The 22,647-nt window shown below is 52.1% G+C and overlaps 1 protein-coding gene across 5 annotated transcripts, besides 7 other annotated features; it reads right to left on the bottom strand.

Moving 5' to 3' along the window:
- Positions 1 to 652: 652 nt before the first annotated feature.
- APOBEC3F (apolipoprotein B mRNA editing enzyme catalytic subunit 3F) lies at positions 653 to 15,761 on the bottom strand. 5 transcript variants are annotated; one of them, NM_145298.6, is made up of 7 exons: positions 15,648 to 15,761; positions 13,535 to 13,688; positions 11,405 to 11,684; positions 11,083 to 11,197; positions 7,044 to 7,200; positions 4,272 to 4,551; positions 653 to 4,048 (listed from the first exon to the last, which is right to left on the bottom strand). In NM_145298.6, exons 1-7 carry the CDS (start codon positions 15,662 to 15,664, stop codon positions 3,930 to 3,932), a joined length of 1,122 nt encoding a protein of 373 aa, NP_660341.2. In that variant the 5' UTR covers positions 15,665 to 15,761; the 3' UTR covers positions 653 to 3,929. The 5 variants fall into 5 exon arrangements, with proteins under 5 accessions (NP_660341.2, XP_047297140.1, XP_047297141.1 ...); XM_047441184.1 differs by having other exon boundaries at positions 11,083 to 11,684; XM_047441185.1 differs by lacking the exons at positions 653 to 4,048; positions 7,044 to 7,200.
- Positions 3,171 to 4,105: an enhancer, noted in NCBI's record as "H3K27ac-H3K4me1 hESC enhancer chr22:39448525-39449459 (GRCh37/hg19 assembly coordinates)". NCBI's record gives its function as "activates a minimal SCP1, AML or CMV promoter by ChIP-STARR-seq in naive H9 embryonic stem cells {active_cell/tissue: H9 hESC(naive)}" and the evidence as "EXISTENCE:reporter gene assay evidence [ECO:0000049][PMID:30033119]".
- Positions 5,357 to 5,446: a silencer, noted in NCBI's record as "silent region_13739". NCBI's record gives its function as "represses an Ori minimal core promoter by ATAC-STARR-seq in GM12878 lymphoblastoid cells {active_cell/tissue: GM12878}" and the evidence as "EXISTENCE:reporter gene assay evidence [ECO:0000049][PMID:35858748]".
- Positions 6,114 to 7,313: an enhancer, noted in NCBI's record as "P300/CBP strongly-dependent group 1 enhancer chr22:39445317-39446516 (GRCh37/hg19 assembly coordinates)". NCBI's record gives its function as "activates an origin of replication core promoter dependent on BRD2, BRD4, P300/CBP, MED14 and CDK7 cofactors, with strong dependence on P300/CBP, by STARR-seq in HCT116 cells {active_cell/tissue: HCT116}" and the evidence as "EXISTENCE:reporter gene assay evidence [ECO:0000049][PMID:35650434]".
- Positions 12,985 to 13,215: a silencer, noted in NCBI's record as "fragment chr22:39439415-39439645 (GRCh37/hg19 assembly coordinates)". NCBI's record gives its function as "represses an EF-1alpha promoter that drives an FKBP-Casp9 reporter gene in an ReSE screen in K562 erythroleukemia cells {active_cell/tissue: K562}" and the evidence as "EXISTENCE:reporter gene assay evidence [ECO:0000049][PMID:32094911]".
- Positions 14,062 to 14,839: an enhancer, noted in NCBI's record as "H3K27ac-H3K4me1 hESC enhancer chr22:39437791-39438568 (GRCh37/hg19 assembly coordinates)". NCBI's record gives its function as "activates a minimal SCP1, AML or CMV promoter by ChIP-STARR-seq in naive H9 embryonic stem cells {active_cell/tissue: H9 hESC(naive)}" and the evidence as "EXISTENCE:reporter gene assay evidence [ECO:0000049][PMID:30033119]".
- Positions 15,892 to 15,951: an enhancer, noted in NCBI's record as "active region_19027". NCBI's record gives its function as "activates an Ori minimal core promoter by ATAC-STARR-seq in GM12878 lymphoblastoid cells {active_cell/tissue: GM12878}" and the evidence as "EXISTENCE:reporter gene assay evidence [ECO:0000049][PMID:35858748]".
- Positions 18,957 to 19,847: an enhancer, noted in NCBI's record as "OCT4-NANOG hESC enhancer chr22:39432783-39433673 (GRCh37/hg19 assembly coordinates)". NCBI's record gives its function as "activates a minimal SCP1, AML or CMV promoter by ChIP-STARR-seq in naive and primed H9 embryonic stem cells {active_cell/tissue: H9 hESC(naive and primed)}" and the evidence as "EXISTENCE:reporter gene assay evidence [ECO:0000049][PMID:30033119]".

The following is a 22,647-nucleotide window of genomic DNA, read 5'->3' as shown; positions in this document are numbered from 1 at the left end:
CAGATGGCCTGAAACAACTGAAGATCCACAAAAAAAAGCGAAAATAGCCTTAACTGATGACATTCCACCATTGTGATTTGTTCCTGCCCCACCCCAACTGATACCATATAGTCTCCCCTGCCCTTAAGAAGGTACTTTGTAATATTCTCCCCCACACTTAAGAATGTACTTTGTATGCCTTTAAGAATGTACACTTATAGGTTTGGGATAGGTTTATCCCAAACCTGTAAGAACTAATGATAATCCCACCACCCTTTGCTGACTCCTTTTTCTGGTTCAGCCCACCTGCACCCAGGTGAAATAAACAGCCTTGTTGCTCACACAAAACCTGTTGGTGGTCTCTTCACATGGACACGTGTGACACTGACCTCAAGTGATCTGCCTGCCTTAGCCTCCCAAAGTGCTAGGATTACAGGCGTGAGCCACCACGCCCGACCAAGATGATTAATTTAAATGAGACCTCTAGTGTGGGCACAAATTAATTTGTCTGGGGTCCATAAAGGAGAAGGTCGACCAGGTGCCATGGCTCATGCCTTTAATCCCAGCACTTTAGGAGGCAGAGGTGGGCGTCAGGAATTCGAGACCAGCCTCGCCTGGAATGTACATGGTGATGTAGCAGGAACGGTTGCAGACAAAACCTCTCAGACACCAGTTTTAGGAAGGAAGAGGCTTTAATCAGCTGGGAGCGTTGACAGACTTGCATCTGAAGATTGGAGCTCCCTGAAGAAGTCCCTGGCCCTTTTAAGGGCTTACAATTCTAAGGGGTCCACGTGAAAGGGTCGTGATAGATTGTGCAAGCGTGGGCTACGTGACTGGGGGGCTACATGCATCAGTGGTGGGGGCTAGCAGAACAGACCAGAAAGTTTCACAATGCTTCCTCATACAATGTCTGGAATCTTTAGATAAAACAAGCGGTCAGGTCAGGAGTTGATCTTTAACTACCAGGCCCAGGTAGCAGCGCCAAACAGTCTGGCCATTGATCTTACTTCTGCATCTTTCTAACTTTTTGCTTCCTTCTGAAATAGGAGACAATGAGAGAGGTGGTCTCCTTCCTCAGTGAAACCCCATCTCTACTAAAAAATAGAAAAATTAGCAGAGATTGGTTCTGGGCATCTGTAATCCCAGCTACTCAGGAGGCTGAGGTGGGAGAATTGCTTGAACCCAGCAGGCAGAGGTTGCAGTGAGCAGTGATTCTGCTATTTAGCACTCCAGCCTGGGCAACAGAGTGAAACTCCATCTCAAAAAAAAAAAAAAGTTGTGTATGGTGGCTTATATCTGTAATCCCAGCACTTTGGGAGGCTGAGGAGAGTGGATCGCCTGAGCTCATGAGTTCAAGACCAGCCTGAGCAACATGGAGAAACCCCGTCTCTACTAAAACTACAAAATTAGCCAGGCGTGGTGGCACACGCCTGTAGTCCCAGCTACTCAGGAGGCTGAGGCACGAGAATCGCTTGAACTCGGAAGGCAGAGGTTGCAGTGAGCTGAGATTGTGCCATTGCACTCCAGCCTAGAAAACAAGAGCAAAACTGTCTGAAAAAAAAAAAAAAGATATTTGGAAGCAGAGAGACCCCAGAGGTACAGTACAGGTTCATAGAGGAAAGGCCACAGAGGACACAGCCAGAAGGGATCCCTGCCATCCAGGAGGAGCGGCCTCAGAGCAAACAACCCCGCCGACCCCTCCACCTTGGACTTGTAGCCTCCATATCTGTGAGAAAATAAATGCCTGCCTGTGGCCCGCATTATTCATGTGGGCACCTGGCCCAGGGCATCTTCTGTGGAGGCCACAGCATGAAGGGATCATTTTTATAGAGAATCTCATTCTCTAATAACTTATATCTGCCTAGAAAATGTCAAGTCAAATTTAAAGTGTGGAGAAGGGCCTCTAAATTTCACATTTCATTTGCAAAGAAAGAATTGTAATTTGGGACATACACGCAGTCCGGGTGGTGTTCACCATGTTGGGAGAACAGAGACAGCAACAGGTCCTATTAAAAGGAGAAATGGGCTAGGCGCTGTGGCTCACACCAGCAATCCCAGCAATTTGGGAGGCCAAGGAGGTTGGATCACTTGAGGTCAGGAGTTTAAGACCAGCCTAAGCCTGGCCAGGTGGCTCACGCCTGTAATCCCAGCACTTTGGGAGGCCGAGACGGGTGGATCACGAGGTCAGGAGTTCAAGACCAGCCTGGTCAAGATGTTGAAACCCCGTCTCTACTAAAAACACAAAAATTAGCTAGGCGTGGTGGCACGCGCATGTAATCCCAGCTACTTGGGAGGCTTAGGTAGGAAAATAGCTTGAACTCAGGCGGCAGAGGCTGCAGTGAACCCAGATTGCACCACTGCACCCCAGCCTGGGCAACAGAGCAAGACTCCATCTCAAAAAATAAAATAAAAATAAGACCAGCCTGGGAAACATGATGAAACCCGTTTTTATGAAAAATACAAAAATTAGCCTGGTTTGGTGGTGGACGCCTGTAATCCCAGCTACTCGGGAGGCTGAGACAGGAGAATCACTTGAACAAGGGAGGCAGAGGTTGCAGTGAGCCGAGACCGCACCATTGCACTCCAGCCTGGGTGACAGGGCGAGACTCCATTTCAAAGAAAAAAAAAAAGAAAAGGAGAAATGTTCTCTTGTCCTATGGGAAAGCCCATGGGCACTAGGAAGGGTTGGGAACTGGGAGGTTCCATTGCTGAATAGCTGCGATTATAGCAAGGAGTCCAAGACTTACAGCCATTTATTGCAGAAGCTATGGATAAAGCTGGTTTCAGGGTACAATGCACAGTTTCAGGAGTCAGGCTTGCAGAGAAGTCCATTTTGGGAGCAATGGTGTGTGGCCTGACTGCTTTTCCTCCCTGGCTCCTGGGCTCTGTTTTAGCTGCGTAGGACATGAATGACCCAATTTGTAGGATGAAAGTTAACAAAGGATGTTTCTCAAAACTTCTGGTTTTCAACTTACATACCCATTTCAACTTTCATACCCATTTCGGTTGAGTTTATTTATTGATTTATTTTCAGGCAGGGTCTCGATCTGTTGCTCAGACTGGAGTTCAGTGACGTGATCTCAGTTCACTGCAGCCTCCACCTCCCCGGCTCAAGCAATCCTCCCACTTCATCCTTCCAAGTAGCTTCAACTACAGGTGCATGCCACCACACCTGTTTTTTTTTTTTTTGTAATTTTTTTGTAGAGATGGGGCTTTGTCATGTGGCCCAGGCTGGTCTCGAATTCCTGGGCTCAAGCGATTCTCTCACCTCTGCCTCCCAAATTGCTGGGGGATTATAGGCATGAGTCACCGCGGCCAGCCTAGGGTGAGTTTAATAAGATTTGGTTGTGCCGCCGGGCCAGTGGCTCACGCCTGTAATCCCAGCACTTTGGGAGGCTGAGATAGGCGGATCACCTGAGGTCAGGAGTTCAAGACCAGCCTGGCCAACATGGTGAAACCCAGTCACTACTAAAAATACAAAAAAAAAAAAAGTTAGCTGTGCGTGGTGGCAGGCGTCTGTAATTCCAGCTACTCGGGAGGCGGAGGCAGGAGAATCGCTTGAACCTGGTAGGCAGAGTTTGCAGTGAGCCAAGATCAAGCCATTGCACTCCAGTCTGGGTGACAGAGCGAAATTCCGTCTCAAAAAAAAAAAAAAAATATTAGGTTATGCTGGGGAGATGGGAAAAGGCAGGTTAGGGGCATGCAGGCTCAGGGAACAGGGTCTTGGTGGGTGGATGGATAGCCATGGAGGCAGAAAGAGGCCTCTGCAGGAAGAGCCTGGGAGAGCGGAGAGGAGGTGGTGAGGCAGGGGAGCACTATGGAATGGCCCTGAGGCCAGGAGGGGCTCAGGATGACCAGGCAAAAGCACAGCTGGTCCAGGATGGAGGGGAGGCCTGCACAACATGAGCAGGAGGCTAGAGGAGACAGACCATGAGGCCCGGGGAGACCCCTCACTCGAGAATCTCCTGCAGCTTGCTGTCCAGGAATAGAAAGTTGTATTTTAGTCCTTTCCAAGGCTTGAATGGCTCATCATCATTGTACACAAAGTTTTCCCAACAATATTTAAAATCTGAGAAAAAACAAGGAGAAAGCAGTGAGGGCCCAGCAGGCTTCTCTCCCAGCCCTGGGCCCTCCCCTCCAAGCCCAGGTCTCCTGACTGCCAGTTGCAGTGGACACTGGCGCCATCCCTGCAGGCTTCCCGGGACACTGCCCCGCCCCACGGCATTGCAGACACACCTGCCCCTCATGCTGTCCCTCCCGCACCCACTCTCCTCAGCCCCCCAACGTCTCACCTTTGTAGCCCATGATCTCCACGGAGGCCCCTTCCTGACTCAGGCTGCGGAGCCCCTCCTGGTAATCTGTATCCCAGAAGTAGTAGAGGCGGGCGGTGAAGATGGTGAGATTCACGTTGCTGTGCCTGGCCAGGAACTCGGCCACCTCCCCTGCACACTCTGGGCAAGGGCTCCAAGATGTGTACCAGGTGACCTCGTAGTTTGTGTTAGGAGACAGTATGTCGTCACAGAACCAAGAGAGGAAGCACCTTTCTGCATGACAATGGGTCTCAGGATCCACCTGGGGAAGGAGGAGGAGGAGGGCAGGGGAGCTCAGACTAGGAGCAGGAGGAGTGCAGGGGTGGGGCGATGGGAGCAGAGGGCGGGCCTGGAGCCCCAGGGCGTTTCCTTATTTATTTTTGAGACAGGGTCTCTCCTGTTGCCCAGGCTGGGGTGCAGTGGTGCGATCTGGGGCTGACTGCAGCCTTGACCTCCCAGGCTCAAGGAATCTTCCCACCTCAGCCTCCTGATTAGCTGGGACTGCAGGTGCGTGCCACCACGCCTGCCTAATTTTTTTGTAATTTTTGTAGAGACTGGGTTTCACCATGTTGCTCAGGCTGATCTCGAACTCTTGGGCTCAAGCCATCCTCCTGCCTCACCCTCCCAAAACTCTGCGACTATGAGCATAAACCACATGCATGGCCTTATTTTCTTTACTTCTCATTTTTTTGGGTACATACTAGGCCCCAGGGCTTTTTACTCATTGAATTTCCCTTCTTCCATCCTTCTCCTTGCTCTTTATTTTTTCTTTTCTTTTTCTTTCTTTTTTTTTTTTTTTGATACTGAGTCTCGCTCTGTCACCCATGCTGTAGTGCAGTGGCGCGATCTCCGCTCACTGCAAGCTCCGCCTCCGGGGTTCACGCCATTCTCCTGCCTCAGCCTCCCAAGTAGCTGGGACTACAGGCGCCCGCCACCACGCCTGGCTAATTTTTTGTATTTTTAGTAGAGATGGGGTTTCACCGAGTTAGCGAGCATGGTTTCAAGCTCCTGACCTCGTGATCCCCCGCCTTGGCCTCCCAAAGTGCTGAGATTACAGGCGTGAACCACTGCACCTGGCCGTTCCTCTTTATCTTTTTGAGTGACAGAGTCTTGCTCTGTCACCCAGGCTGGGGGGCAGTGGCAAGATCTCGGCTCACTGCAACCTCTGCCTCCTGGGTTCAGGCGATTTTCCTGCCTAAGCCACCCAAGTAGCTGGGACTACAGGGGCACACCCCCACGCCTGGCTAATTTTTGTAGTTTTAGTAGTGATGGGATTTCACCATGTTAGGCAGGCTGGTGTCAAACTCCTGACCTCATGATCCGCCCGCCTCAGCCTCGCTAAGTGCTGGGATTACAGGCGTGAGCCACTGCACTCGGCCCCTTCCTTCTTTATTTTATTGAGTCTTTTCCTGTCTCATCATAGGTCATGTGTGATTTCTGGCATCCTGTTCCCCAGGCATCCGTTAACCGGGCATCCTCAGCCCCTGCTGTGGCCTGGTCCTATGGGGTCTGCCTTGTCCCCTGTCTGCCTTCTGCTGGGAAGGTCATTGGACCCACATTGTCCCATGGAGTTGAAGGTTGGCCAAAGGGGCTACTGAGCACTTGAAATGGGGCTCTGATTAGAAACGTTGGCACGTGTAAAATACACAGCGCATTTCAAAATCTCATTGTGAGAATAGACAAACTTTAACTCTCTCATGAGGCATTTTATATTAAGTATATGTTGAAATCCTATGTGAGATAATTGAGCTAATGCAGACACTAAAATTTCTTCCACAAGTTCTTGTCGCCTTTTTAGCGTGTGGGGACTGGGAACACTCGCGCTTCCATCCTGAGTCCTGGGTGTTTCCGAGGCCAGCACTGCTGTAGGCCAGGCCTGCCCAGCACACAGACGGCTCCCTCCCCAAACACACTCTGAAAAAATCTCCTGCCTGGGAGGAGGGGGCCGCAGGGTTGGGTGGGACACGACAGGGTGGGTGGGAGGTCAGTGGCTGCTGTGGGGGCGGCAGGGTGAGGAGCGAGGGTTCACCACCCTGTGAGGATGTGTCCTTGACATCGAGGAATCAGGGCAGTGGCGGGGGCGGCCCCACCAGCCCACAGTGACTGGCCCAGGCACAGTGCTGGACACCAGACCCACCGCTTCCCACAGCTGCTGTTTCCCGAGGACTGCCGGACGCACAGCTCCATGACAAGATTTTGGGAAACAAAGTCAAGAGTGAGGGCGCTGGGCGCTAAACAAGGCCTTTTGGTAAGAGGCAAAACCCCTCGACAATCTGATCCCAGGAAAGTTAGGGAGGAAGATCTGGGCCACGGACTTAAAAAATGTGGGAGGAAGTTGGGCGTGGTGGCTCATGCCTGTAATCCTAGCACTTTGGGAGGCCGAGGGGGGCGGATCACTTGAGGTCAGGAATTCGAAACCAGCCTGGTCACCACGGTGAAACCCCGTCTCTACTAAAAATGGAATAAAAATTAGCTGGGTGTGGTGGTGGGCACCTGTAATCCCAGCTACTCAGGAGGCTGAGACAGAAGAATTGCTTGAACCCAGGAGGCAGAGGTTGCAGTGAGCAGAGATCACGCCATTGCACTCCAGCCTGGGTGACTGAGTGAGACTCTGTCTCAAAAAAAAAAAAAAAAAAGAAATGTAAGAGGAAAGTACACACAGGAAAGCCCACGCCAGGCACGTCACTTATTGTGTTTTCTGCATTCCTAGCTGCTTAGCTCCTATTTGGGGTGTAAATAGGACTTTGGTGCTACCTGGTTTCGGAAGACGCCCCTCTTCCAGGAGACAGGTGAGTGGTGCTTTACAACTTCCATGGTGAAGCACAGCCAGCTTTCGTTCCGACCATAGGCTTTGCGTAGGTTTTTAAAGTGGAAGTAGAATATGTGTGGATACATTGCCTCCATCGGGTTTCTGAAGGCACAATAGAGAAACCCCAATGCAGAGACCCCCCTGGATTCCTCGGAGCTGATGCCCACTGAACACCACTCACTGGACAGCCCTGGGAATGTCTGCTGCTTTCCCAGGCAGAAAGACTGGGAGAGAGAAAGAGGAGGGGATGCTGGCAGGGGCAGAAGGGCCGGGGTGACCTCTCCCAGCTGGAACCACAGCTCTGGGCCTACCAATGGGACACCCTCAACCTCCCAGTTTTTCTGCCACACGTCTCCCAACCCATTAGGAAAATGCAACAGACAATAAAACTCTTCGCCCTAAAATAATTGCTTGAACATTTCAGCTCAATTCCTTCCTCACATTTCACCTGTCCGATGATGATGATTCTTTTTACGTTGGTATCACACCGAATTCCCAGGCCCAGGCTACTCTTTTTGTTTTTTTTGTTTTTGTTTTTGTTTGGGACATAGTCTCCCTCTGCTGCCCAGGCTGGAGTGCAGTGGCGCGATCTCAGCTTACTGCAACCTGCACCTCCCGGGTTGAAGTGATTCTCCTGCCTCAGCCTCCTGAGTAGCTGGGATTACGAGCTTGTGTCACCACGTCCGGCTGATTTTTGTACTTTTATTTATTTATTTATTTTTATACGGGGTCTCAGTCTGTCGCCAGGCTGGAGTGCAGTGGCACAATCTCGGCTCACTGCAACCTCTGCCTCTTGGTTTCAAGCGATTCTCCTGCCTCAGCCTCCCAACTAGCTGGGACTGCAGGCACGTGCCACAACACCCGGCTAATTTTTTGTATTTTTAGTAGAGATGGGGTTTCATCATGTTAGCCAGGATGGTCTTGAACTCCTGACCTTGTGATCTGCCCGCCTGCCTCCCAAAGTGCTGGGATTACAGGTGTGAGCCATCGCGGCCAGACCTAGTTTTTGTATTTTTAGTAGAGACTGGGTTTCACCATGTTGGCCAGGCTGGTCTTGAACTCCTGACCTTGTGATCTGCCCGACTCAGCCTCCCAAAGTGCTGGGATGACAGGCGTGAGTCACTGTGCCCGGCCAGCCTAGGCCACTCTCCTAAGTGCTGTGAGGGTCTGAGCTCATGGTATGTGCCTGAGGCCTGCAGGGGGCCATCACTATTTTACAGACGAGGTGCCAGAGGCACAGAGAGGCGGGGTAACCTGCCCAGGCCACAGAGATGGGGATGGATGGAGCTGGGGCCCCTTTCCGGGCCAGCCCTGTCCAGCCTCTGCATCACAGGCCCTGCAGGAGGGAGCTGTTGGGAACCGGACTCTCTTCTTACTAAACTTTAAAATAAGAGCATTTCTCCTGATCATCATATTTTTTCCTACACTCCATGTTGCAGGTTTCATTCTAAAAGGTGAATGGTGCTCACGGAGGAGGAGCCTGTGTCTGGAGTCATGTGCATCCTCCTCTGTTCACAGTGGAGGCATCTTTGGAAGAAGTGACTTATTTTCTGGTACAGAGACCATTCCCTCCCCCACATCCTCTCCTAAGACTTTGTGTTGAAACAAAGTAAATCTTGCAGAAATTCCATGGAAGTGCTGAGAACAAAATGCCTGATTGCTCCAATCATCCTTTGGTTCAATTTTCTCAGTTCCTGAGCTCAGGAATGGCGAGAAGCACAGAGAGGGAGCACCATCCCAGGGCGGGGAGCAATAGCAAAGGGGTGACTTTCGGGGGAGAGTCTCAGCAGGGGGCCTGGGCTGGGGCAGGTGGGGGAGATGGCCCATTCAGAAGCTGTAAAGGGGCGACCACATAGCAGGGCAAAGAGCCTGGCTGGTAGTGGGAGCAGCAGAGGAACCAGAGGGGAGAGAGACTAGCGCTGGGGCAGGGGCAGGGGGAGGCCAGGCTGAGGCCCAGCAGGGCCACCAGGCAGGAAGGGGCAGCAGAGGCCCCGTGGGCAGAGCGGGCAGTGGTCCCTGATCTGGGGCTTCATGTGCACCCTCCCTGGCAGGCTTGTCCTGGCCCTGATGGTAGTCCTGGGCTTGGGTTCTATTTTATCTTCCAGGGCCCTTGTTCCAGGAGACACCTGCGCTGTGAGTGACCTCACAGGCCCATCTGAGTGCAGGTCTCACTTTATGCTGCTTTCTCACCTGGATGGGAGGACCTCCAGAGGGACTCCTGGATCCTGCCCTCAGGAATCATCCCAGGGACGCCCCCCACCCGGTAGCTATGTGGTAGGGAGGGAGAGTGAGGGGCAGGTGTCTGCTTCCCCCTTGCCTTCACATTCAAAGGCCACCATTGGAGGGAGGAATAGCGGGTGGGGGTGCCCTCAGATGTCCCCCCAGGATGCCATGCGTGCCCCCACACTGAGCTCCTTCCTTCCACATCTCCTGCCCAGAGTTGTTCCCTGGCAGGCTGAGCTCTTGTCCCTATGTCACAGAAGGGTGGAGGCTGGTGTCCCCGGCCACCCTGTCTTGCAGTTTGCTCCTCCGGTCTAAGACCCAGGTGCTCAGTTCCCGTCTCTCCCGAGGGCCTTAGATCCCTTTCTATGGCCTCTCTGGTCTCTGGTTGCCTTTTTCTATTGTGCTTCCTGGAGAGCTCCTGGCATCTCAAGCCTCCCATTATCCAAGCCTACTCTTTTGCAAAATCTTACTCAACACCTGGCCAACATTGCAAAACCCCGTCTCTACTAAAAATACAAAAATTAGCCAGTGTGGTGGCATGAGCCTGTAATCCCAGGTACTTGGGAGGCTGAGACAAGAGAATTGCTAGAACCAGGAGGTAGAGATTGCAGTGAGCCGAGATCGCACCATAGCACTCCAGCCTGGGCGACAGAGGGAGACAGTGTCTCAAAAAAAAAAAAAAAATCTTATTCAATTGGGACCTTGATCACTGAGTGTTTGTTTGGCTCTTTCTGCATCTCCATCCCTGTTGGGGGCAGATTTGAGAAGGGACAGGCGTGAGCAGAGGCCGGGCTGGGTGCTGTTGGGTGGGGAAGCCATGGGGTGGGGCCCAGGGTGCAGCAAGGTCTGGAGGGAGGGGCTGTGAGAGTCAGGGCAGGACTCGCCTGGGAGACAGACACACAGAACAGGGACCCCTGCATGCCCCACGCAAGCTTGACCCATTGTCATGGACTAAATTGTATCTTCCCCACATTGATATGTTGAAACCCTCATCCCCACCTCCTCACAGGATAACTGTATTTGGAGACAGGTCCACTAAAGTGGTGATTAAATTAACTCATGGCCCTTAGGGTGGGCCCTAATCCTGTCTGACTGGGGTCCATAAACGAGGAGGACATTTAGAGGCAGAGAGACCCCAGGGGTGCAGGTGCACAGAGGAAAGGCCAGAGAGGACAGGGCTGGAAGGGACCCCCTGCCAGCCAAGAGGAGCAGCTGCAGAAGACACAACCCCGCCCACCCCTCCACCTTGGACTTGCAGCCTCCAGATCTGTGAGAAAATAAATGCCTGCCCTGTGGGCACCCGGCCCGGGGGCATCTTCTATGGCAGTCGAAGCCTGAAGTTTCCACAGAGGCTGCTCCTTCTCAGGGACTCAGGTCGGCCTTGAAGGATGTTGCTCAAAGCTTCTGGCTGTCGGCCTTGTGAATATTCATGCCCACTTACGTCCAGTTTTATGACAAATTCGATTATGCCAGGGAGATGGAAGGAGCCAGGTTGGGGATCCCAGGCTGTGGGGAGGGCGGCCTCGAAGGTGGATGGAGGTTGCTCTGGAGGCAGAAGGGGCCTCTCACTCATAGGAGGGGCCCAGGAAAGAGGGAGGAGGCAAGAAGGGGAAGGAGCACAAGGAGTGTGGGTGAGGGGTGTAACCATGAGGGCAGGCAGGGGGCAGGACGGAGGGCAGGAGGGCCTGGCCAGGGGAGGCCTCAGGAGGATGAGCAGGAGGCGAGAGGAGACAGACGATGAGGCCAGAGGGAGACCCTCACCTGAGAATCTCCTTTAGCGTGCGGTGCAGGAATGCATAATTGTCATCGAATTTGTACCAAGGCATGAATGGCTGACCTTCACTGTACACAAAGTTTTCCCAGCAGTATGCAAATTCTGAGACGAAGAGGCAGGAAGCAGTCAGGCTCTGCCCTGACCCTGGGCCCGCGCTCCCAGGCCTGGTCTCCTGGCTGTCAGTTGCTGTCAGTGCTGGCCCCGCCCCTGCAGGCTGCCCTGGGACACCCCCAGCCATGGCATTGCAGATCCATCCATCTTTCATGCTGTTCCTCCCGCTCACGCTCCCCTGACCCCTCCACCTCTCACCTTCATCGTCCATAATCTTCACGCGGGCCCCTGCCTGACTCAGCCTGCAGAGCGCCCTTCGGTAATCTCTTTCCCAGTAGTAGTAGAGGCGGGCGGCGGAGATGGTCAGGGTGACATTGGGGTGCTCAGCCAGGAATTCGGCCAGCTTCGCCACACAGTCCGGGCAGGGGGTCCAGGATACAAACCAGGTGATCTGGAAACACTTGTAAGCAGGCAGCTGGTTGCCACAGAACCAAGAGAGGAAGCACATTTCTGCGTGGTGCTCAGGCTGGGAATACACCTGGGAGAGGAGCAGGGGGCAGGGGATGCTCTGAGAGGGGGAGCAGGAGGAGTGCAGGGGTGGGGCAGGGAGAGGAGGGGCCAGGACAGGAGCCCAGGGGATCTTGCCATTGAAGCTCCTTTCCTCCATCCCCCCTGTTTAGTTTGAGTGATTGTCTGCTCCAAAGCTCACGTTCAGTGTTAATGGCTATTGTAATGGCCTTAAGAGGTGGCACCTAGAAGAGGCTATGAGGCTGTGGGGGCTGCACCTTTGTGGGTGCTACTGGCGTGTTTATTCAAGGGCGACTTCAGCCCCTCTTTCTGTCTCTTGCCCTCTAGCTGGGGGGGCAGTATGTCAGACTAAACTGCTTCCTCTTGTCCCCGTGGCATGGAGCAGCAGTGACTCGACATCCCAGGCCACTCTGTCTGGAGCATCCCCTGAACTTCTGGCAACAACCTTTACCCCCACGTGACTGTGCAGCTCGCAGGCCCTGGAAAGTTGCTGGTGCATTGACAGTGGACTTCCCAGAGGCCAGAACTCGAGCCCATACATTTCTGTTTATTGTAAATGTCCCCATCTCAGTCCTGCTGTTGAAGCATCATCACAAAGTGCACCAAGACATGAGCTTCCCTTCGTTTGGAAGTTTTCCCAGCCCTGTTCAGAGCCTCATGCGTGAATTCTGGCATCCATTCTCCCAGGCATCCATTCACCAGGCATCCTCAGCCCCTGCTGTGGCCTGGCCCTCTAGGGTCTGCCTTGTTCCCTGCCTGCGGTCAGCTGGGGAGGCCACTGGACCTGCGCTGTCCCATGTGGTGGGGCGCACTGGCCAAAGGGGCTACTGAGCACTTGAAATGGGGCTCTGATGAAAGACCTGGGCACCTGAAAAATACACCATACACCGCTCATTTATCTTTTTTTGTTTTTTGTTTTTGTTTTGAGACGTAGTTTCACTCTTGTTGCCCAGGCTGGAGTGCAATGATGCAATCTCGGCTCACTACAACCTCTGCCTCATGGGTTCAAGCGGTTCTCCTGCCTCAGCCTCCCAAGTAGCTGGGATTACAGGCGACTGCCACCACACCGGGCTAATTTTTTTTTTGTATTTTTAGTAGAGACGGGATTTCACCATGTTGGCCAAGCTGGTTTTCAAACATCTAACCTCAGGTGATCCACCCACCTCGGCCTCCCAAAGTGCTGGGATTACAGGCGCGAGCCACCCACCAAGCGTGGCCTACACAGCTCATTTCAAAGACTCAGTGTGACAAAAAGAAACTTCATTATCTTGTCAAGAATTTTATGTTAATTAATGTTGAAGTAATATGTTAGCCACATTGGATTAATTAAATATTAAAATTAGGCCGGCGCTGTGGCTCACACCTGTAATCCCAACACTTTGGGAGGCCGAGGCAGGTGGATCACCTGAGGTCAGAAGTTCGAGACCAGCCTGGTGAATATGGTAAAATCCTGTCTCTACTAAAAATACAAAAAAAAAAAAAATTAGCTGGGCGTGGTGGTGGGCACCTGTAATCCCAGCTACTCGGGAGTCTTAGGCGACAGCATCGCTTGAACCCAGGAGGCAGAGGTTGCTGTGAGCCGAGATCGCGTCATTGCACTCCAGCCTGAGCAACAAGAGTGAAACTCTGTCTCAAAAAAAAAAAAAAAAAAACACAAGGCCTTTTGTGCAAAGGCAAACCCCCTCCACGATCCGATCCCAGGACGGTCCAGCAGGAAGGTCAGGGCCACGGACTTGGAAAGTGTGGGAGAGAAGGACACACTGGATAGCCCGCCGCCGGGCACTTCACTTATCAGTGCGTGGTTTGCTTTCCCAGCTGGCTTAGCTCCTGCCTGCAAAGTGATTGAAGTCCGGGTGGTACCTGGCCTCGAAAGATCTTTGCGTCCAAACGGGGCCTTGAGGGACCCTTTGTTTTCACTTCGTAGCACAGCCAGACGGTATTCCGACGAGAAAGGATGGGTCTATTATAAAAGTTGTAGGAGAATGTGTCTCGATACATTCGCTCCACTGTGTTTCTGAAGACACAAGAGAGAAACCAGCCAATGTAGAGAGCGCTCCCGGGAGCCCTCAGGGCTGATGTCCACTAAACACAGCCCCCTGCATGGCTCTGGGCCTCCCCAACCCCTCCACAGCCCTGAGAATTTTTGCTTCCTTCCCAGGCAGGAAGACCGGGGAGAGAGCAAGAAAAGGGGATGCTGGCATGGGCAGCAGGGGCAGGCTGACCTCTTCCAGCTCAGGGTCCAGCTCTGGTCGTTCCAGGAGTACATTCCCCACCTTCCCAGTATTTCTCCCACCCATTCTCCAACGCATTAGTAAAATGCAAAAGAGAACAAAGTTCTTGGCTGGACATTATGGCTCATGCCTGTAATCCCAGCACTTTGGGAGGCCGAGGTAGGCCCATCACTTGAGGTCAGGAGTTTGAGACCAGTCTCACCAACATGGTGAAACCCAGTCTCTACTAAAAATATAAAAATTAGCCAAGCGTGGTAGTGGGTGCCTGTAATCCCAGCCACTGTGGAGGCTGAGGCAGGAGAATCGCTTGAACCTGGGAGGCGGAGGTTGTAGTGAGCCGAGATCGTGCCACTGCACTCCAGCCTGGGCTACAAGAGCGAAACTCCATCTCAAAAAAAAAAAAAAAAAAGAGAGAGAGAATAAAACTATTCACCCCAAAATAATAGATTTTAACCTTTCAGCCAGTTCCTTCTGACATTTCACCTCTGTATATTACTATTGTTAAATCATGGTAGAACCGAATTCTGAGGCCCAGGCCACTCTTCTAAGTGCTGCGCGGATGTGAGCTCATGTGAGGCTGCCCTAGGCCCGCACGGGCCATTCCCATCTTACAGAGGAGGTGCCAGAGGCGCAGAGAGATGGGGTAACCTGCCCAGGCCACAGAGCTGGGGACGGATGGGGCTGGGGCCTCTTACCAGACCAGCCCTGTCCAGTCTCTGTGTCACCAGCCTTGCAGGAGGGAGCCATTGGGGACCAGACTCTCTTCTTACTAAATTTTAAAATAATAGCATTTCTCCTGATCATTGAGTTTTTTTCCCATATATTCCATGTTTTTTGTTTTTGTTTTTTTTTCTTTTGAGACGAAATTTGGCTCTTGTTGCCCAGGCTGGAGTGCGATGGGGCGATCTCGGCTCACTGCAACCTCCGCCTCCTGGGTTCAAGCGATTCTCCTGTCTCAGCCTGTGGAGTAGCTGGATTATAGGCGCCCGCCACCACACCCGGCTAATTTTGTATTTTTAGTAGAGACAGGGTTTATCCATGTTGATCAGGATGGTCTCGAACTCCCGACCTCAGGCAATCCACCCACCTCAGCCTACCAAAGTGCTGGGATGACAGGTGTGAGCCACCGCACCCGGCCACTATATTCCATGTTACTCGTGTCATTTATAAACAGTGAATGCTGATAGTGGAGGAGGAGCGTGTGTTTGGGGTCATCTGCATCCTCCTCTGCCCACAGTGGAGACATCCTTGGAAGATACGATTTATCTTGTGCTTCAGAGACCATTCCCTCCCCACACCCTCTCCTAAGACTTGCTATTTAAGCAAAGTAAATGTTACAGAAAATCCATCAAAGCACTGTGAACAAAATTCCACATTGCTCTAATCATCCTTTGGTTCAATTCTCCCAGTTCCAGAGTTCAGGAATGGCGGAAAGAACACAGAGGGAGCACCCTCCCAGGGCCGGGAGCACCAGCCCTGCCATGACTTTCGGTGGCGGGGGAGAGTCTCAGCAGGGCACCTGGGCTGGGGCAGGTGGGGAAGCGGCCTATTCAGAAGCAGCAGTGGGGCAACCACAGAGCAGGAAAAAGAGCCTGGCTGGGAGTGGCGGGGGCAGGGGAGCCAGAGGGGAGGGAGCCCAGGGCTGGGGCTGGGGCAGGGGGAGGCCAGGGCTGACGCCCAGCAGAGCCACCAGGCAGGAAGGGGCAGCAGAGGGGCCCAGCGGGTAGAGCGGGCAGCGGTACCTGAAGTGAGGCTTCATCCTTGGCCGGCTAGTCCCGACTAAGATCTTTGTCTGGAGCACCAGGGTTTCACTTTCTGCTCCAGGCTCCAGGTTTCAGGACAGCCCTCCCTAAAGTGACCTCCCAGGGCCTCGTAGTCATGGCCCCTCCCCCTTCCTGCTCAGGCGCTGGTGTAGGAGGCCCTGGGACGCTTTATCTTCCTCAGTCTCTCACCCTCTTTCTGGTTTTCTCTGGGGCCCTCCCCCTGGCAGAGGGACCTCTGATAAAGACAGGCCGCTCTGTGCGGCAGGACCCAAGGCAATTGCAAAGGGAAAGAGAAAGTCATTGCAGCCAGCGCCCGCGAGGTGGGTCCACACCAGGCTGAGCCAGCAGAGCACAAGCCCCTCCCCTGGTGGTCCCGCCCAGCTGGAGCCTCCTCTCCACCATCAAGACAGACAGGCTGATGCCTCCGCAGGGACTCCCGGATCCTGCCCTCGGGGATCATCCCAGAGACGGCCCCCACCCAGCGGCCATGGGGACAGGGAGGGAGAGTAAAGGGCCAGGTGTCTGCCTCTCCCCAGGCCTTCACCCTCGGAGGCCACCGTGGGAGGGAGGGACAGCAGGTGGGTGTGGGCCTCAGATGTCCCACCGGGATGCCATGCGCGCCCCCACACTGAGCTCTTTCCTTCCTGCTTCTCCTTCTTCCCCATCTCCTGCCCGGAGTTCCTCCCTGGTGGGCTGAGCTCTCGCCTCCTCTTGTCCCCATGTCATGGAAGAGCAGTGGCTGGTGTCCCAGGCCAGCCTGTCTGGAGCCTCCCTGCGCGTCTCACAGCTCCCTTCCCCTGGTAGCGTGTTCCCATGGCGCGGTGACCTAAAAATTACACAAGGGATGCATTTGGTTTTTTTGTTTGCTTTTGTTTTTTTGTGTTTTTTTGTTTGTTTGTTTGTTTTGAGACGGAGACTTGCTCTGTTACCCAGGCTGGAGTACAGTGGCGTAATCTCAGCTCACCGCAACCTTTGCCTCCCAGGTTCAAAAGATTCTCCTGCCTCAGCCTCCCATGTAACTGCGATTACAGGCACCCACCCCTACGCCTAGGCTAATTTTTGTATTCTTAGTAGAGACAGTGTTTCTCCATGTTGGTCAGGCTTACAGCCGCCCACCACTATGCCTGGCTAATTTTTGTATTTTTAGTAGAGACAGGGTTTCTCCATGTTGGTCAGCTGATCTCGAACTCCCGATCTGAGGAGATCCGCCCGCCTTGGCGTACCAAAGTGCCGGGATTACAGGTGTGAGCCACCGCGCCTGGCCACAATGTATAAATTTGGAAAGGAGATTTTATTTCTTGTTAAGGGTGACAGGCAGCAAGGTAGCCATCCCGCAGCCTGGGAAGAGCAGCCTCTGGGAAACACCAGAGACAGACATTTAGAAGCAGGAGGGGTTGGGGCAGGAGCTTTATGCTGAAGGGGTTGGCTAAACATACATATTCAACAGGCTATAGGAGGAGCTATGAATATTCATGTGGGTGGCTGCACTCCATGCTTATTGAACAAACATGCGTGTAACATATGATCCCAGGCAGGCACAGTGGCTCACGCCTGTAATCCCAGCATTTTGGGAGGCCGAGGCAGGTGGATCATCTGAGGTCAGTGTCAGGCCTCTGAGCCGGAGCTAAGCCATTGTGACCCCTGTGAACTGCACATATACATCCAGATGGCCTGCAGCAGCCAAGAAGTCTGGAGCAGCCAAAAAAACACAAAAGAAGTGAAACAGCCAGTTTCTCCCTTAACTGATTAACCAACCTTAAGACATTCCACCATTAGGACTTGTTCCTGCCCTACCCTAACTGATCAATCGACCTTATGACATTCTTCTTCTGGACAATGGGTCTCATGGTCTCCCACCATGCACCTGGTGACCCCCTCCCCTGCTGACAACAGATGACCACCTTCGACTGTAACTTTCCACCACCTACCCAAGTCCTATAAAGCTGCCCCTCTCTTATCTCCCTTCGCTGACTCTCTTTTCAGACTCAGCCCACTTGCACCCAAGTGAATAAATGGCGTTATTGCTTACACAAAGCCTGTTTAGGTGGTTTTCTATACAGACACGCATGACAGTGAGGAGTTCGAGACCAACCTGGCCAACATGGTGAGACCTGGTCTCTACTAAAACTACAAAAATTAGCCGGGTGTGGTGGCACGTGCCTGAAATCCCAGCTACTCGGGAGGCTGAGGCAGGAGAATCAGTTGAACCCAGAAGGCAGAGGTTGCAGTGGGCCGAGATCGCGCCACTGCCCTCCAGCCTGGGAGACAGAGTGAGACTCCATCTCAAAACAAAAAACAAACAAACAAAAATCTAAAAAAAAAAAAAGCAACCGTATAATCCGTCCTCACATTGCGGTGGAGACAACATTTAAATGTACCACAATTAAGCCTGTATGTCAAAAGGTCCTTTCAGGACATGAAGGCACCAAAATTTGCCAGGTCTGTAAACCATTCAGAACTAGTCCGTGGTCCGTGGTCTTCCGATCTGGAGAAAGTTACTGAAATCAGTCTCTTGTCCAGGGAAACCTGGAATTAGGGCTGTGGAGCAGGGGCTCTGTTGCTCCGCGTCCGGGCGCTGGGTGAGCTGTGATTGTTTTCATCTTTATCTGGAGGCAGTGCTTGTTTAGCTGCTAGAGCAAAAAAAAAAAAAAAAAAAAAACCTTGGGGCAGGCAGAACAGAGTTGACTGTTTAAGTGTGGGGTGTGTGATCTCACCCTTGCCTGGCACGGCCTGAGGTCCTGGTTGTGATTTGGTATCTGATTGCCATGAAGAGTCTGTTCTGGTTCTGCCCATCTTATGATTCTGTTTTAACATTACTGCTGGTCAGTTGTGTCTAAACTGCAAAAGGGCGGGGTGATAATGAGGCGTGCCTGACCTCCCCTCCCATCATGGCTGGGAACTCAGTTTTAAGGTTTTTCTGAGATACCCCTGGCCACTGGGGGCCAAAGTTGGGGGGGATCGGTGGGGGCTAAAGACTTTATTTTTAGTTCATAGGCCTTTGGACTAAGCTCTGATTTGTTTTTATTTAATCTTGCCCAAAATCCTATCTAAGGGGTCTGGGGAGTCATGCCTTACAACCCGTACATCCTCATCAGAGGGGTTCTATTTTTTTTTTTTTTTTTCCTATTGTATTTTAATGGAGGCCGAGTTTCACTCTTCTTGCCCAGGCTGGAGTGCAATGGTGTGGTCTCGGCTCACTGCAACCTTCGCCTCCCGGGTTCAAGCGATTCTCCTGTCTCAGCCTCCCAAGTAGCTGGGATTATAGGTGCCCGCCACCACACCTGGATAATTTTTGTATTTTTAGTAGAGACAGGGTTTCACCATGTTGGCCAGGCTGGTCTTGAACTGCTGACCTCAGGTGATCCACCCACCTAGGCCTCTCAAAGTGCTGGGATTACAGACATGAGCCACTGCGCCCGGCCCACATGGGTTTTATTTAACCCTATATATTGTGAGTTACTTTCCAATCTGACTCAGGCACAACATTATGTGACAAAGTAAAAAGACAAAATATTTTACCCCAAAACATGTTTCTTTGCCATATCTTGAAATGGCCCTGCAAAGTTGTCCTTTGTGGGGCAAAATTTGTATCTGTAAAGAATCTCTATTAACATAGCTGGATCTTTTTCTTCTAGGCCCTCCCGGTCCTAAACAGATGAACTAATTGCACCTTTTAAAGGCCTGAATGGGAAACATTTGTCATCTATTGTCTCTAAGGGCAGCCACTATGAGACTTCAAAAGAACCTTGATCTCCACAATCTTTTATCTTAACCTGAACGTTTCCTTTCTATGGATGCCAGGTCTCTAGACAAACTCAACCAATTGTCAACCAGAAAATGTTTAAATTTACCTGTAGCCTGGAAGCCCCCCAGCACTCCTGCCCTCACTTTGAGCCGTCCGACCTTTCTGGAGCAATCCGAAGTATTTCTTTTCTTTTTTTTGAGACGGAGTCTTGCTGTGTCGCCCAGACTGGAGTGCAGTGGCGTGATCTTGGCTCACTGCAACCTCTGCCTCCTGGGTTCAAGTGATTCTCCTGCCTCAGTCTCCCGAGTAGCTGTGATTACAGGTGCCCAGCACCACACCTGGCTAATTTTTTGTATTTTTAGTAGAGACGGGGTTTCACCATGTTGGCCAGGCTGGTCTAGAATTCCCGACCTCATGATCCATCTGCCTCAGTCTCCCAGAATGCTGGGATTACAGGCGTGAGCCACCACGCTCAGCTTCTGTATTTCTTAAATGTGTTTGATTGATAGCTGATGCTTCTCTAAAATATATAAAACCAAATTCCTATCTAAGGGGTCTGGGGAGTCATGCCGCACCCACACCACCTTGAGCACACACACATTCTCAGGACCTCCTGAGCCCTGTGTTACGGGCCATGGTCACTCGTATTTGGCTCAGAATACGTCTCTTCAAATATTTTACAGAGTTTGACTCTTTTTGTCGACAGGCCCAAGACCCAGGTGCCCACTCCCTGTCTCCTCGGAGGGCCCGCGCTTCCAGTTCTCTGGCACCTCTGGTTCCTGGTTGCCCTTCTACTTTCTGTTCTGCTTTCTCGAAAAGCTCTGAGCATCTCAAGCCTCCATGTAGTACCCAATTCTACTTTTTATTGAAAATCTTACTTAAACACCAACTTGATCACTGATCAAGTTTTCTTGGCTCTTTCTCAGTCACGTTCCCTAGGCTGTGTCCTAGCCCAGAGCTGCACTGCTGGGAGGGATTTGAGAAGGGAGGGGCATGAGCAGAAGGGAGGGCTGGGTGCTCTTGGGTGCAGGAGGGTGGGCTGGGTGGAACATGCAGGAAGGTCTGGGTGGAGGGGCTGTGAGGGTCAGGTCAGGACTCCCCTGTGAGACAGACACACAGGACAGGAACCCCTGCACTCCCCACTCAGGCCCGCCCACAGTGACTGTGGCTTGTTGCCATGTTGCCCTGTTTCTCCCAAAAATCAATATACTGAAGCCCTAACCCCTCTACCTCAATGTGTGGTTGTATTTGGAGACAGGTCCTTTTCAACAGATGATTAGTTAATTAATTAATTAATTTTTTTGGAGATGGAGTCTCACTCTGTCGCCCAAGCTGCAGTGCAGTGGCACCGTGTCGGCTCACTGCAAACTCTGCCTCCCTGGTTCAAGTGATTCAAGCCTCAGCCTCCCGAGTAGCTGGGATTACAGGTGCCCACTACCATGCCCAGCTACTTTTTGCACTTTCAGTAGAGGTGGGTTTTCACCATGTTGGCCAGGCTGACCTCCAACTCCGCCACCTCAGCCTCCCAAAGTGCTGGGATTACAGGCGTGAGCCACCGCACCCAGCCAACAGATGATTAACTAATTAATTAATTTTTTTTTTTTTGAGATGCAGCGTCACTGTGTCTTCCAGGCTGGAGTGCAATGGCACGATCTCAGCTCACTGCAACCTCTGCCTCCCGGGTTCCAGCGATTCTCCTGCCTCAGCCTCCCGAGTAGCTGGTATTACTGGCATCCACTACCACGCCCTGCTAATTTTTTTGTATTTTTAGTAGAGACGGGGTTTCACCATGTTGACCAGGCATATTTCCAACTCCTGACCTCAAGTGATCTGCCAGCCTCAGCCTCCCAAAGTGGGAGGATTACAGGCGTGAGCCACCACGCCCGGCCAAGATGATTAATTTAAACGAGACCTCTAGTGTGGGCACAAATTCACTTGGCGGGGGTCCATCAAGGAGAAGGGTGGCCAAGTGCCCTGGCTCATGCCTTTAATCCCAGCACTTTGGGAGGCCGAGGTGGGCAGTCAGGAGTTCGAGACCAGCCTGGCCAACATGGTGAAACCCCATCTCTACTAAAAAATACAGAAATTAGCAGAGAGTGGTTCTGGGCGCCTGTAATCGCCGCTACTCAGAAGGATGAGGCCAGAGAATTGCTTGAACCTGGGAGGCGGAGGTTGCAGTGAGCAGTGATCATGCCATTGCACTCCAGCCTGGGCAACAGAGTAAAACACCGTCTCAAGACAAAAACAAAAACAAAAACAAAACAAAACAAAAAGGCCGGGTACGGTGGCTCATACCTGTAATCCCAGCACTTTGGGAGGTGGAGGAGGGTGGATCACCTGAGCTCACGAGTTCAAGACCAGCCTGAGCAACATGGAGAAACCTCGCCTCTACTAAAACTACAAAATTAGCCGGGCGTGGTGGCGCATGCCTGTAGTCCCAGCTACTCAGGAGGCTGAGACAGGAGAATCGCTTGAACCCTGAAGGTGGAGGTTGCAGTGAGCCAAGATTATGCCATTGCACTCCAGCCTGGGCAACGAGAGTAAAACTCTGTCTCAAAAAAAAAAAAAAAAAAAAAAGATGATATTTGGAGGCAGAGATACCCCAGAGGTGCAGGTAGGTGCACAGAGGAAAGGCCACAGAGGACACAGCCAGAAGGGATTCCCTGCCAGCCAGGAGGAGCAGCCTCAGAGCAAACAACCCAACCCACCCCTCGAACTTGGACTTGGAGCCTCCAGATGTGTGAGGAAATAAATGCCTGCTGTGTGGGCACCTGGCCTGGGGCATGTTCTGTGGAGGCCACAGCATGAAGGGGTCATTTTTATAGAGAATCTCATTCTCTAATAACTTACATCTGCCTAGAAAATGACAAGTCAAATTTAAAGTGTGGAGAAGAGCCTCTAATTTCACATTTCATTTGCAAAGAAAGAATTTGGGACATACACGCAGTCTGGGTGGTGTTCACCATGTTGGGAGAACAGAGACAGCAACAGGTTTTATAAAAAGGAGAAATGGGCTAGGCGCTGTGGCTCACACCAGCAATCCCAGCAATTTGGGAGGCCAAGGAGGTCGGATCACTTGAGGTCAGGAGTTTAAGACCAGCCTAAGCCTGGCCAGGTGGCTCGCACCTGTAATCCCAGCACTTTGGGTGCCCGAGACGGGTGGATCACCAGGTCAGGAGTTCAAGACCAGCCTAGCCAAGATGCTGAAACCCCATCTCTACTAAAAATACAAAA

Source organism: Homo sapiens, chromosome 22 (assembly GCF_000001405.40).
Source record: "Homo sapiens chromosome 22, GRCh38.p14 Primary Assembly".
In the NCBI taxonomy this organism is placed as follows: Eukaryota; Metazoa; Chordata; class Mammalia; order Primates; family Hominidae; genus Homo; species Homo sapiens.
The sequence above is the reverse complement of the archived record's forward strand: the minus strand, read 5'-3'. Positions and strand labels throughout refer to the sequence as shown.